The sequence below is a fragment of the Homo sapiens genome, chromosome 8 (genome assembly GCF_000001405.40).
Source record: "Homo sapiens chromosome 8, GRCh38.p14 Primary Assembly".
Classification (NCBI taxonomy): Eukaryota; Metazoa; Chordata; class Mammalia; order Primates; family Hominidae; genus Homo; species Homo sapiens.
The window spans coordinates 115,573,244-115,588,854 of record NC_000008.11 but is presented as its reverse complement, the minus strand read 5'-3'; the positions used below and the strand labels follow the sequence as shown (position 1 = coordinate 115,588,854).

Here is a 15,611-nt window from a genome sequence, read left to right as displayed (position 1 = left end):
TGCCTGGCAAGGAAATATTTTGATGATTATCTAAAATTACATGTATGAGTACATAACTTACAGTATCTTACAGCTTTAAGTAATAGCTCACAAAATTTATTTTGTTACTTTAATTTGGTAATTCATAGCAAGTTATATCAGGGAAGTAGAAAGTGTTTCCCTGATATTTATTTAGACAGCCATACACAGTTTTTATAGTTAAACAAAATATGACTTTTTCCACATCACTTGTGTATCTTTCGGGTATGCTTTTTACAGTGCAATACTTCTGTTCTTCTTTTTTAATCAAATATTTGCCCTAATGTAGCAGTCACTGTTCTCTCTTTAACAGCAGAAGATGGTAGGGAATTTGATAATAAAATTGTCTTGTTTTATGCCATTTAAAAAGAAAACACACACACACCCTTTTAATGAATATATTTGTAAAGCCTCTATTATGGTGTTTGACACTCAACAGACACTCAATTTCTTGAATGTGTTTACGTTCTCATAGATGGATAGAATTTGTTTAGAGAAAAATCATGGGTTATAAATACATCTTATTTTCTAGACTTTACAGATCAGTGAGCAATATTTAATTCACTAAATGGATTTAAATTTGATGATAGAAAAGAACACTTTATTTCTTTTTTAAAATCATTTAATAATTTGATAATGATTTATTATTTTATATTTAAATTTAGTTCCTTTTAATATATGGAAAAGCTGTACAAAGCATTTCAGCATTAGAAATTGAAGTGTATCTACAGGGGGAAAAATCCTCAATTTAGTTTAAATAACAGAAAGTGAAAAGGGCATTTTAAATCAGGTGTGAAAACTTAAGAATAGTGACTTAAATGATATAATTCATGATTATCCATCAGGGTAAACTGCATCTATCAAGGCAAAATGAACAGAGTGGGGCATTTAACAGTAATTCAAACTAACCAGTTTTAATGCTAATCACCTGGAATGTATGCGCACAAGCACGAGCAGCGTGCGTGCGTGCGTGCACGATGCGTGTGTGTGTGTGTGTGTGTGTCTGTGTTATACCTATTACTGCTAATATAACAAGGGCACTTTGAACTCTTTATATAGAACTGAAAATGCCTGTTAATTACATTCCAGTTTTGGGGTGTTAAGAATATTGCATTTCTTTCTACCTACTATATTGCATGAGTAGGTAGAAAATTCAGGTGCTTAAAGGCTATTAAAAATAAAACAACCCTTCAGAACGCTGTCTTTGCAGTAACTGTTTTCTTCTTCTCCAGGAGAGCACACAGCTGCTACAAATGCCGTCAGTGCAGTTTTACAGCTGCCGATACTCAGTCACTACTGGAGCACTTCAACACTGTTCACTGCCAGGAACAGGACATCACTACAGCCAACGGCGAAGAGGACGGTCATGCCATATCCACCATCAAAGAGGAGCCCAAAATTGACTTCAGGGTCTACAATCTGCTAACTCCAGACTCTAAAATGGGAGAGCCAGTTTCTGAGAGTGTGGTGAAGAGAGAGAAGCTGGAAGAGAAGGACGGGCTCAAAGAGAAAGTTTGGACCGAGAGTTCCAGTGATGACCTTCGCAATGTGACTTGGAGAGGGGCAGACATCCTGCGGGGGAGTCCGTCATACACCCAAGCAAGCCTGGGGCTGCTGACGCCTGTGTCTGGCACCCAAGAGCAGACAAAGACTCTAAGGGATAGTCCCAATGTGGAGGCCGCCCATCTGGCGCGACCTATTTATGGCTTGGCTGTGGAAACCAAGGGATTCCTGCAGGGGGCGCCAGCTGGCGGAGAGAAGTCTGGGGCCCTCCCCCAGCAGTATCCTGCATCGGGAGAAAACAAGTCCAAGGATGAATCCCAGTCCCTGTTACGGGTAGGATGGTTTCATTTTTAAATAATTCATTTGTTTTGAAGGGCAAAAGGAGGAACACACATTCTTTCTCTACAGGATTGTGTTGTGTGTGAAGTGAAACTTAATGATCTGTCTCAATCTGGGGATTTATACTCCTAAGGCCAAAGTGGCAGCAAGTAACTCATGTGTGTTTGTGTGTGCTGTGCACTTACTTGATACAGTGTTAGGCAGTCACTTGTTTGTCTTTGCTCTTAGCTCAGATTGAATGTTGGTTAATCATTCCTGGTGACTATACAAAACAACAAGGCCATATTTGGAGAAGGGAGGTTTAGAATCCCAGAAGGATGTACATCTGCTACACTGAAATAACTAAATGACTTTTAAATTTTAGGCTGCTATGACAATATATGGTTAATAAGGAAGTCAGAAGAGATTTAAATCACTAAGAATGTAATGTCCTTGATGAGATGTTCATACCAAAATACGGAGTTTTTTAAAACCCACGATATAATTATGTATAAATGACAATGCTTGTTGTTGTCGAGTTGCCAACAAGAGGGGGAAAAATGAGAAAAGGCTAAGTGTGAATAGTGTGAAAAGCGGCCAAAGAAGAGTGCCATGCATTTGATATGAACAGGATCTTTTAGGGGGAAAGACCTAGTTCCATGTGGAAAAAGAAAACAAAACCTCTGAGTAAGGTAAGATCCTCGATTGCTCTCTTCATACTATGTAGACTCAGCATTGTTAAAAAGTATTTTAGATTTTGAAAATTCATGAGCTCCCAATAAGTGATAGTTGCTCGATGCCTAAGACACCACCTCTTGGACATTTTACCTTAAGTCTGTGAAAGTTTTGAGCTTCTCTGGATGATTTTGAAGCTTTGTTTGTGCATAGAAGGTAGGATCAGAAACCAGCTAACCTTTACAAAAGATCCAGTTGGGAAATAGAGTTCCATTAGCCAGGTGCTTTGACCTGCGGGTCATAGACCAGTGAGTTCTCTCTGGATGTATTCTGGGGAGAAAAATTGCTCTTCCCAATGTCTGCTTGGCTGCTCTGCTCTCATTTCCTGCAGATTCTCTGAAGCCTATCTGTGCTTCTCAGTATTCTCTAGCGGAGTTGAAAAACGCCCCTTAGAGGTGCACAGTTAATTATAGAAGCTGTTAGCTTTCCCATCTGTAGTCATGCCCTGGAGCTAAGAGAAGGACTTGAATACAGAAGAGGAGATGCCCCCTGTACAGAGAGAAACAAAGAATCCTTCCTGCAGGGAAGAAGCAAGTTTATTAGGAGTAACTTCGGGAAAAAAAGAGAAACAGTTTCTGTGCCCTTCAAGAGGGGGTTCAATTTAGGGAACTCCCCTCCAGTGAATATACATGGAGCTGCATTTTTATCATTGTCAATATTTGTTGTTTTCTCAGCATGTCATTACTCTTCTGGCCTCAAGTGACTCATGGCTTCTGGTTATAAGGCGGGAATGAAATGTCCTATGTTTTATTAAATTCATACTGCATTTTGAGAGTATGGTATATTTGGGGGCCTTATATCTATATCACCGGAACCCCTTTCCTTCCTTTTTCTACTTAAAATTGGTTTCATCCATGACATCTTCATTTGACACCATATTGTTTGACTGTTTCTGGAATATTACCTTTTCTGCCATTGTTTATATACTCTAAGACTTTGAAATGACAATTTATTAAGCAATGGTATAAAAAACCTGAGCGTAGTGGTTGCATTTTTTGAGCAAGATGGAGATGTTAATACTTTTCTAAAAAGTTGTTTTTCTCAATTCCTCCACTTCCTTAAATCCCTGATTTCAAGTTTCTATTGCATCATTTTAACAGCCTTTTCAGTTCCTCCACATTAGCTGCTGAAGTAGGAAACCTTAAACAAGAGATTCCTTAGCTGTGTTCTACAATAATAGCCAAATTCCAACCCTATGATTTATTATCTTCAAAGGCTGTAATCTACTAAATTTCAGAGATCTGATAAAATTACATTAATATATACAAATACATGCATATGCATATATAAAAGGAAGAATATTGAATCATTCTGTGGTTGCAATAAAATTTAAATCTTTTAAGATTCACATTTTATATTTGAATAGTGCTTTTGGAAATCACCAATTTTACTGGATATTTGGAATAGGAAGGGTAGCCAATTTAATTTATTGGGCAACATTTAGGTTATTAGCTGTATATGAAATTTTCAATGTGTACATATCTTAGATGATGAGCTTTTTAAGACACCTAACAGAATTAAGAAACAGCCCATTCTCATTGTGAATTTGACACCAATTCTACTTTGGTGGTATTAGTTGGTATTCTGAAATTATCATACCGAATTACCTACCTCTAATTCATTACCCTACCAGTGGTAGAAAAAAAAAAAAAAGCAGAATTTTGAGGTCATGTTTACTAAAGGCCAAAAAAAAAGTACTATAAGTTTATAGTTTCAGAGGCATAGTTATTAGTGAAGATGTCCTGTAATAATTTAAAATACACCATAGAAATATACAGATATAATTTACATGTTTTGAACCCAAATTACAGTAGTGTATAAATATATGCCTACAGAATGCATGTTTATATTTGAAACAATAAAATAGAACTTGAAAGTAACTACAATTATTCAGAAATTGTAAGCAATTTAAGAAATGTAAACTATCAGATTTTAAAAGTACCTTTTTAATTAAATAGTTTTTTCAATATAGCATTAATAGAGCAAGTATATTAATACATTTATATATACAGTTTCTAATACTAAAGTAAAACTTAATCATTTAAAAATACTATACAGAGTGATATCAAGAATTAAGTATGGAAAACTTGCCCAACAGAAAATGTTGATTTAATATAGTTCAATACTATGCTGGTAAATAATGGAAACATTTTGAAATAAAAGGCTGAATGTAGTTAGGATTGTGTTACAAAGCACATAATTAAAATGTTGCTTTCAGCATATTAGTCTTTCTGATAACTTTTTTTTTTAAACTGGTTTTAGCAATGAAAGTTTGCTGTACTTCTCAAAGTGAGGAAGGAAATATAAGAATCACAAGAAGAGCTAAAATTTCGAAATGTTCTCTTCATTAACATTAGTGGTTTTCTCCTTTTTTTGGCTTATGTCAGGGTCAGTGTTTGGCTTTTAGTTTTGTGTTCAATATGATATCATTTATGTATATTTTTATTTAGTAAATGTCTATATTTTTCCCTTGTTATTAGTATGGAATTGATCTTGATATAAAAATTTTCAGTTGCATATGCCTCTGTGTTGACTTCTGTGCTTTGAGTATGACAAAAGCCACATTGCCATAAACTTGATCTTATAAATTGCTCTAGGAAAACTAGGCTTTTTTTTGCATATTAATCACACAATATTTCTACAAAATTTTTGAGTATTTTCTTGTGTTAGTAGGAAGAAGTATTAAGGGCTTTAGAATCTTTGCTAGAAATAGTCTAAGCTTATATGACAACTTTATTATCTTAACATTTCTAGAATAGATCTTATAGAACATGAATCACCTCCTGAAAATGGTTACCAACATTTACTAATAATATTTTGAAAACCCAGTGTTTTTATTTAAAGTTTAGGTCTGTGAAGAGGTTAACATGTTTAAAATTACCTGTACCAACAGTATAAGTAAATTATTTTATATATTCCAATAGATGTTTCTTAATCATTTTAAACTAAGTAGTATAGTATAGTCAGCATTCATGTAAAGTTGTATACTTTTCTGACAAGTTTTTTTTTTATGATGTACATCTACACAAAGGTATTTATTTTTTAGATAAATTTATGCAGATGCAACTGTATTAATTTTATTGTTTCCTGAATAAGAAATTCTGGATTTTATTTTTGTAATGGAATTTTTAGATTGGATATTCCATTGCAGAAAACTTGGCTTTTTATCTGATAACTACATGAATAAGGATCCAAAAATCGATCATTAAATTTCACAAAAAAATTAACCAACATTGTGTAGTTTTTCATTTGTTAATAAAATACGGAAGTACAGTTAAGCTTATTGGGTGAGTCTTTAGGGGGAGCTCATGGAAAATCAACATTCAGGTAAACTCCTCCATGTTATTTGTCAAAACGGAATGTTATAGATAACTTGTAGCTCAGGTTCTTCCATAGGTTCAAATGCTGTAGTTATTAGAGCACTTTTTTCTTGCAGCTAGAGGAAAGATAAATCTCCTTGAGATTGATCTTGGTTTCCAGTTTAAATTTCTTTAGAAAAGTCTGTCAGTTGTAACATCTACATTTTGTGCTACTTGGCTTCAGCGGAGATGCTCAACCATGGGCCTGGGGAGTTGAGTTCCAAGTTCTGGAAGTTGAGTTCCAAGTTGAGCCACTGACTTTCAAAGGAAGGGCCTCCCAGGATCTCCGTTCATCTGTCGCTTGGAGAGGATCATGCTGCCTGCCACCCTCACAGGAGTGTTGTGCAGCTTAGTTAATTAACGTTTGTCAGGCCATTTGAGATCCTCAGATGCAGAGTGCTAGATAAGTGGAAATAGTCTGATTATTTGTTCATTTTGTAAGTGTGATACCAGGACAGTACAATGAGAATGTTATTTCCCCTTTTCTTCAGCAGCGTTAAATTTATAGTTTAAAGATTGTTGATACCGGACAGACTATTGAGATGCAAAAATGTTCTTTTGGGGACAGTCCATTGGCAGCCAAACAGACGTTTAAACAAGTGACAATGTTGAATGCCTTTACAACCACTGACAGAAGACTGCAGGAGCTTTTTTTTAACTAAAGATGGTCTGAAGTGAAAAGTGATATTCATTGTTTTGCTTCATATTTAATTAAAATGAAAGCAAAATTCCAGTTATCAAAGAGGTAGCACTGACTTAATGTTTATGTACATAACTGTTTTCTCACCCGATTTGGACTTTTTACATGTGCATAAGTAAAATACCAAAGAGATCAGACTATATCAGGAAAAATGGGAAGTATATACCTCTCTAAACACTGGTTATGAAGCCATGACTTTAGGCCCTGTTGGTAGTTTCTCTTTAGGTAGCAGTTGATATTTTCTTTGCCTGAGAGTAAAATAAATGATTAAAAACTATTGACTATATGCAGAGATGAAAAATCCTTGTACATGTCTCTGCTTCTGTGCCATATAGATGTATTTCTGTTGACATCTATTTGAAAAATATATGATTTAAACTCAAATATGTTTTAGTTTAGATTTTAAAAATACAATCCATGTATCAAATTCATTATGTGTAATAGTGAACATGACAGTTCTGTTTTACCGTGTAAAAGTGAAGTAGCTTTTTCTTATTTATTGATTATTCATCTTTTACATTTATATACCATTTTTGACAGTAGAAAGTTGTCAAATTCGTTCCATATTCCATAGGTATAGAAGTTTGGTTTTATTAGTTTGATTAATGAGATTTTTAAGCAATCTAATTTCTTTTCTATAAGTCTGCTTCATTAACCCACACATTTTTTAAAGCACTTTTTTTTTAATGCACACACAATAATTGTACATATTGTGGGGAACATAGTGCTGTTGTGATACATATAATGTGTGGTGGAAGGATTAGGGTAATTTGTATATCCATCACCTCAACATTTGTAATTTCTTTGTATTAGGGACATTCACTATTCCAGCTATTTGAAACTACATACTACTGTTAAGTACAGGCGTCCTACAGTGCTACAGAACACTGAAACTTACTCCTCCCGTCTAGCTATAACTTCATATCCTTCAACAAATCTCTGCCTATTCTCCCTTTCCCCCTACCCTTCCTATCCTCTAATATCTTCTCTTCCGTTTTTGGTTTCTACAAGATAAATTTTTTTTTTTTTTAGCTTCCACATATAAGTGAGAACATGCAGTGTTTAACTTTCTATTCCAGGCTTATTTCACTTAAAATAACGTTCGCCTGTTCTATTCACGTTGCTGCAAGTGACAGAATTTTATTCTTTTTTTATGACTGAATATATTCCATTGTGTGTATTTACCTCATTTTGTTTATTCATTTATCTGTCGTTGGACACCTAGGCTGATTCCGTATCTTGATTATTGTCAATAGTGCTGCAGTGAACATGGGGGTACAGGTGTCTCTTTAATATACTAATTTCCTTTCCTTTGGAAAAATACTCAGGAGAGGGATTGCTAGATCATGTATGTAGCTCTGTTTGCGGTTTTTTTGAGGAGCCTCCATACTGTTCTCCATAGTGGCTGCCCTAGTTTACACTCCCACCCACATTAATAGCACTTGAAAAACGACAACAACAATGTTTTTGTAACCTAGGCTGTTTGTGAGGTCTGGCATAGTTCTGCTGGCCCAGGTTTCTAAAGCAGGTGAAGCAGATGTATCTTAGTGAATTGGACTGTAGGTTTGCAGCTACTGTGAAATGTTATCCTTTAGTGCAGTATCTGTTCATTATTTCCTATATAACTATCTTTTGCTTGGCTTCTCTTTTCCATGGACTGCATGAGTCAGGACATAACAGGGCCCCCAAAAGAACCCATTGTTGAGCATTCTTAGATGTTGGAAGTGAAGAGTATACAGAAGGTGGCCCAAGTTTCAGGAGCACAGGGCCAGAATGATTCAAAAATGAGGTATGTAGTGTTGATGTGAATCTGGTAATTTTCCGGCAGAGCCCAGTCTGATGGGTCCATTTTACAGGCACATTAATACCTAAAATGCCACAACGAGGTTTTATTTTGGATTTTTGGGGATTTTGTTATTTTCACCAAAAAGGTAAATATTATCTCCATTGTCTCTCATATATATATATATATATATTTTTTTTTTTTCTTCTCTCCCTTCCATTAGATACTGTTCAAAACTTTCCTTAAGTGTTTGTAAGCAAAGGCATTGATTAGTAGACTGCTCTGCTTGTTAACTCAAGGAAGCTTGGCAAGCTAGGTACTGCTGTATCTAGTTGTGTTATCAGTTTAAGGAAAGGCAAATTGTTTCATTGATGTTTGAAGACCCTTTTTCCTTTTGGAGAAGCAATACTACTTATAGACTTTTATTATGAACTATAATTTACAAATACAAGGAAGTCTGGAACACAGCTTTATATCAGTGGTTAGGAGTGAAGCAAAGGAATCTTAGTTTTGTTTTTTTCTGATGACAGCACACTTGTGATAAATTGAGCGTTTGGCATCATTGTTCATCTCAGAATGATTAAATGCCTCCCTCTCACTTGTAATTTTATATGTTAACTTGCCTCTTTTAAACAAGGCAGTTTCTTAATTTTGAAGAATTACTTTGGACATATTAATTAGGAAAAGGATAAACCATTTTCTACCATGGAAATTTATATATGTGTAACATCATGAATAACCAGAAAATGCTAAGTATATACACTATAGATATCTATTTTTAAAGGCAAAATACACTTTATAATTTTTGCTACCATTAAAAAAGGTACTGATTATGAATCAAACTTTTATGAGAATTTAGGTACAAAATGGAAAAGATTTTTAAAATAGATTTCTGGTTAAAATGATATTTTGTGTGAAGGAAGTGATAAGATCCCTGACAACATGATTTATTGAATTGCATTTGCCTGTAGTGTTACATTTAGTTTAAATTTTTATACAAGACTGATGCTTGATCATAAAAAAAGTCTTGGTAGACAAAGCACATAGAATCTCAGGGAATTAACTTTCTGATTGTAGCTATATACATTGGGTAACACAAGAATACCTGTTTGTAGGTGTTAAATTTGAATTCTTAATGAAGAAAAGAAAATCTGGTGAAACTACTTTAAAACAATTGTATAGGAAAGCATTACAAAAAATATTTGGTTAAAATAGACGGATATTTATAACTGGTTGTCAATTTAGCATTCAGTTTCTAGGATTAAGCTTACTACCTTTCCATTAATTTATTACTGGATGGATTCCTTTCATCCTCACCAGAACTCTTTGAGGTTGAAACTATTATTATCCCCATCATTTAAATGAGTAAACTGAGGCTTGGATATTAAGTATTTTGCCTAGATCACACTGCTTATAATGGCAGACATTAAATTCTAGCTCTGGCAATTCTAGAGTCCCTGCTCATAACCATTGCATAGCCTCTTTTGGTTCAATATGGTTTGCTAATAAATACTTGGGTGACTTTCTACAGTTTCAGAATTAATTTGTTTCATCTAAGCATACACGTTTTTATGTGTGTATGTACAAAACAAAATACCTTTTTGAAATTACATAAGTGATACATGCTTATTGCGAAAGAGTTGGATAATACAATATACTGTAAAGAAGATGAAAACCACTCATAAATTCCAACCTGTAAATACTTTCGTGTTCATATTTTGGCATCTAATGTATCCTTTATGTATATTTAAATATATATTTTATTCAAGTATAGGATCATGTACCTCCCTGTTTTATAATTTTCTTTTTTAATTTTTCAGTGTATTGTGGACATCTTTTCTCATCAACAAATACATCCCACAATGTTCATTTTTGTGCCTCATTATACCATGGAATAGTGACATCCTAGTATGTTTAAGACATTCCTTATTAATGAACAATTAGGCTACTTCCAATTTTTAATTATAAAGGACATTTTGAAGGACTTCCTTGTACATATTATTCTATTGCTTTATCATCTTTTTGGGATAATTTCATGTAGTATATTTCCAGTTATTTAAATGAGAAAGTACATGGTTTATAACAAATGGTATTTAACGTCCAAGTCACTGCTATCTAAAGGGGTAATTTTTAAGGTATAAAATAATTTGGCTTATAAAAAATGCGTGGGAAAAATATCCTAGAAATATTTAAGGATTAACTTCTAAATTGTAAATTGACATATTTAATGATAGATTCAAAAAATTAGGAGAAAAGCAAGTGGCAATTTTATCACATATATGGAATACAGTACATGTCCGATACAAGGTAAATAGTATAATAAGCTTACTTTATATTGCATATGCAGTATAGTTTATTCTTTAGAGAAATTGATTTGTAAGAAGAACTCATTTTCTTAAGCAGAGTTGAGTCAAGGGTTTTAATTAAAAGCAGTCTACTCAGGCTTTGCCTTTCTCGGGCGAATAATTTCTCTCTTTTCTCTGCTTTTGCTTTGCCTCCATGGATGATGCTCCTGCTACCCTTCACGCTTTGTCAAACCAGTTTTGAAGTTTTCGCCTTCCCCCGATGTATGTCGCATGTGTGGGTAATGGCATGGGCTTTGAGGGAGTACAAGAGAAAAGAATTGATTTCTCTTTTCTTTAAAAGATGGCATTTAATTATCTTTGTTTTTATTTTTTTGCTGAAATATATTAAATGCACATTGATTCCGTTAAGTATTTTTCTTTGATAAAGTTGTCAGAATGTCAGAATATGCTTTTTTTCTGTTATTGATGCATAATATTTCATACATTGGTGAGGTATACGTGGGAATTTTCTGCAAACATAGAATAAATAATGGTCAAGTCAGGGTTTTTGGGGTATCCATTACCTTGAGTATTTATCAGAATTTCAATGTGCTGGTAACATTTTAAGTCCTCTGTTCTAGCCATTTTGAAATATGCAATATATTATTGCTAACTATAGAATATTTTTATTATTTTTTATGAAAATTTGAAGAAGCAGGGGCAAGAATACTTTCTGAATTAACATTGCATTTGTGCTACCTATATGCTAAAAATACAGATTCTCAGGCCACTCTTAACCATACATTTATAAAAAGATGTATGATGTTATTTATGAATGTTTAAGACAAACAAGTTAAGCCACTCTTCTATATGGAATCTAAAAATGTACAAACACTGCATTTGAAAGAGACATTCACTTTACTTAAAAATAATTATTTGCTATTTTTTTAAAAAAAGACTCAGAGTGGGACTTTTGAGACATCCTCTTTTGTACATTGAACAGTGGAAAAAAACTTTACTTGTTAACATTTTAGAAGTATATTTGTTTGCAAAATCATGGTATAATTGAAGGCAATACTGGCTATATTTTAGGAGATGCACATATTTGGCTTATCTAAATCTTAGTGTCAGAAATTGCCTACCTGAAAGTTCCCTGGTAATATAGAAAAATCTGTCCTCTTTGCCTGACTTACAAACTAATTCTAAGAAGGTTGGATGTTTTTAAAGTGTAAATTGTCTGGATGGACAGTTTGTGGTCTACAAATTTATTATCCAGCTAATACTGTCATAACTTTATGCTGTGTGACTACTGAGTGTTTTTGAGTTTTTAAAATCAGAGCTTTCCTCAAATTCACATGTGATTAAAATATTTTTGAAGAGTCTAAAATATATACTAACCTTTGAGGTTCCAGCTGGGTTTGGAGGTAGGTATGCTCCACATTTAACTCTGGCTGTGGTTCAGGCCTGCCTGTATTTTATTTTCTGGTAAAATTAGATGTTATTTTTTCTTTTTGCTCTTCCCTTGTGATGTAGTGGAAAGTGCTCTGGATTGGAGGAAAGGAGACTTTGTGTTCTAGATTCACTTTGTGACTAACTAGCCGTGTGACCCTGGGTGAGTCACTCAAGCCTCATATACTGTTTCCTGCTTTGGAAGATTATAGTTTGAAGTATGCAGTTTCTCAAATCTCTTTACAATTGCAGAGTCAAGCAAATCTAGAGTCAAGTAAATTTCCTTTAAAACCTTAAACATTCAGATCTATGAATTGATACCCGAGGCAACTTTAAGACAAAATCTTATATTTTGGACGTAATGATGCTGATGTCCAAAGATCTAGATCTATATCTATATCTATATCTATATCTATATATATATATGAACTACAAATTCTTAAATATGATTTCCAACCAGTGGCTGAGAATCCATAAGTTATAAGCAACTGTCACACATACAGTCTGAAAGCTTCAAAAATTGTATTATTTGAACTTATCTTGTACAAGAAAGCCCATTCTTTGGAAACAACTTTGCTGCAAAAGAATCATGTCAAGGGGCTGCTGATGAATGAAGTTAAAGGAAAGTAAGCACAATGAGAAAATAATTCTATGAGAAAGTGACATGCTTAAAGTCTCCTTCCTCAGTTTCTTGGCATTGAGCGATGATGCCTGTTTTGTTCACAGTCAGATGTTCAAATCAGAATTTTGGATGCAGAAACTAATTTTAGTAGGTGGGGTGCAAATTTCTTATGAGTCCATGAATAGACTCTAATCCCAGCTGTTTCATTACAATTATAAAAATAAAATTGGCTGTGAATCATTCAAACTCTGTTTAATGGATGTGAATAATTCAGTTTCATCCCACTGAAATCTTAAAACTATAAACCTATCTTTGTTCTTTATGTTCCTTCAGAGATCATATGTCATTACTCATATATGAATTATTTGAAGTATGGGTGATCATGATGAAAGTGACCAAATTTCTACTTAGCTCCTGTGGGTTTCAGGAGAGGAGGTGGCCTCTAGGGTGAGGCTAGGGATTAAGTGGAGAAACAAATTGGGAAAAGTCCAGGAAAAGAGAAAAGGGTGTTAAATTAGGATTTCTTGGCATTATCTTTCCTATCAAGATATATGTTCATTATAGACATTTTAGAAAATATAAACAAGCAAAAAGAAGAAAATAAGTTTTCAACGTTTTTAATGTATTTACTTCTGGACACAGACACACAGGCACATGCACACTCAGACATGCTCACTCACACACATAGACATGCACCTGCAAACATAGATTTGTATGTTTATTATTAAATAACTTTTAATTTCACTTTCTAATAAATTACACGCTGTTTTATAGCAGCGTATATTCTGCTACATCATATTTATTGACTTCATAGTATTTCACTATATGTTGTACTAGTTGTCCTAGAAAAACTGTCTATCGATTTCTTATTGTTGGACATTTATTTCTATTTTTTGCTATTATCAATAGTGCCACTTTTAGTATGTTTATAGCTGAATAATTGCAACTTGCTTGCGATTTTAAATTTTGAGAATTGGCGTCCCAACAGTCAGGCTCCTCTATGGGACCACACAGTAGTAGAGTTTATTGGCAAGCATAGGTCACTTTACCAGATCATGTATATAGACTCCTGAGAAACAGGAAAACAGTATTATTTCTTGGCTTCCATTATTTTGAATTGCCTTGCAGTGATAGCTAAGAAATAGAAACCCTGAAGTTTTTTAAACATTATTATAGTGGAAAAAGTGAATATGATTATTTGAATAAGGTGCATTTCTTGAGCAGCAGCAAAGAATCAGCCAGGTATTGATTTTACTTTCATAATTGAAAGATTTCTCAGTCACTTGGACATTCAGAGAATATTTCATAGGACAATGCACTTATAAAGTTATATATATATATGGGATTTAACTGCCTTCAAAACATTTCTTAATATGTCAAATTTCTTAATGTGTTTTGGTGAGCACATGAAGTTGATGCCAGTAACTACTCAGTGAAGTGTTTGGTGCACAAACTGAATTTTGAAATATTTAAATTTTCTTTCATTTGCTTACAGCTATTTGTACAGTTTATTGTAAGATAAGAATGAAAATCAGGTGTTAAAGCAAAGAGTACAAAACTATTCTATGTCCTGTCTCTTTTCAGTTGCTTCTCCAAGCATTAGACTTCTCTAGGCAAAGTCCTTTCATAACACTAGAGATTCATTATATTTGGTAGTTCATGAAATTTTAACAAGACACACTTCTGTTTGTGGGATTGGAATGCGTGTTGGTGAGTGTCCGAATTTAAATATATTGGTATTCATATGGATTCAGGATTTATTTTCAAAGAACAGATATTCACTAGACCAAACTAACCTGTACTCAAACTTGAAAGAAATAGAAATAGAAAAAGCAGAGGATAACTTTGTGGAGTTAATTCCTGATATACTGGTCTCTAAAGTTTCTTGTTGTCCGATAAATATTAATTTAGCACCTGCTGGGTTTCAGGCAGGAACTGTGGAAGAACTTATAAAGGGTATGAAAATGAGTATATCAAGATTTCTGTACTCAAGTTATATACAGTTAGCTGTAGGTGATAAGACAGGTATGGTGACAGCTAAAATACAATCAGACTTCCATAAAAGAGGTGAAGGGAGACGAGAATGATTATGATTGTTTAAAGAGGAACAGATCACATTGTGTTGAGAAAACCGACTTAGTTGTCCCAAAAGGTTTTCTGAGCTTGTTTCGGAAAGGAAGACTGGACTTTTAGCAGGTGAATATGACAGCATGAAGGGTAAGCCAATATAGAAGAAACAATGTAAGATTACAAGGGGCATTTTCAGGATATAGGAAAGAGAAAAGCTTGATGAAAAGTTAGGTATAGTATAGTATGGGGAGCTAAGACTTGACATAAAGGTTAGGATAATTTTCTAAAATGTTTATTTGAAAAACTTTATCTCAGAAGGAAATAGGGAACCATTCCAGGATTTGGGCAAAGGATAATTTGATGAAACCTTTAATAGGGTTAATATGACCATCTTACATAGGTTGACATGGAAAGGAGGTGGACGGGGTTGAGGTGACGAAGACTCATTAGTAGGCTGATCTCTTACTCTATGAGTAATAACAGGGAGCCTACACTAGGATAATGATGTTGGGAAGTGATTTCTGTAGCTATGCTGAGCAGACAGTCTTCAAGAGTTAGCAAAGTTTATATGTGCGGGTGACAAAAAAGAGGCTTTGAGTTTTGATGACTGAAAGGAGACAAATAATAGCTAATCTTTGATAAAGACTAACTATGGGCAAGGCTTTACTCTTTGTTTGTAGTAACTTACTTAATCCTCATTATAACCCCTTTATATAGATGCTGTATTTTCTCCATTTTACAGAGAGGAAGTAGAGCCTCAGAGATGTTA

General features: G+C 33.9%; 1 protein-coding gene across 4 annotated transcripts in view; it reads left to right on the top strand.

Annotated features, from left to right (window-relative positions):
- Positions 1–15,611, top strand: part of TRPS1 (transcriptional repressor GATA binding 1) — a 260,480-nt gene that overhangs the window by 80,121 nt on the left and 164,748 nt on the right. For all 4 annotated transcript variants that reach the window (NM_001330599.2, NM_001282903.3, NM_014112.5 and 1 more), the window contains one exon: positions 1,251–1,854. In NM_001330599.2, coding sequence (NP_001317528.1) covers positions 1,251–1,854 — 604 coding nt within the window. The remainder of the gene's footprint in view (positions 1–1,250; positions 1,855–15,611) is intronic.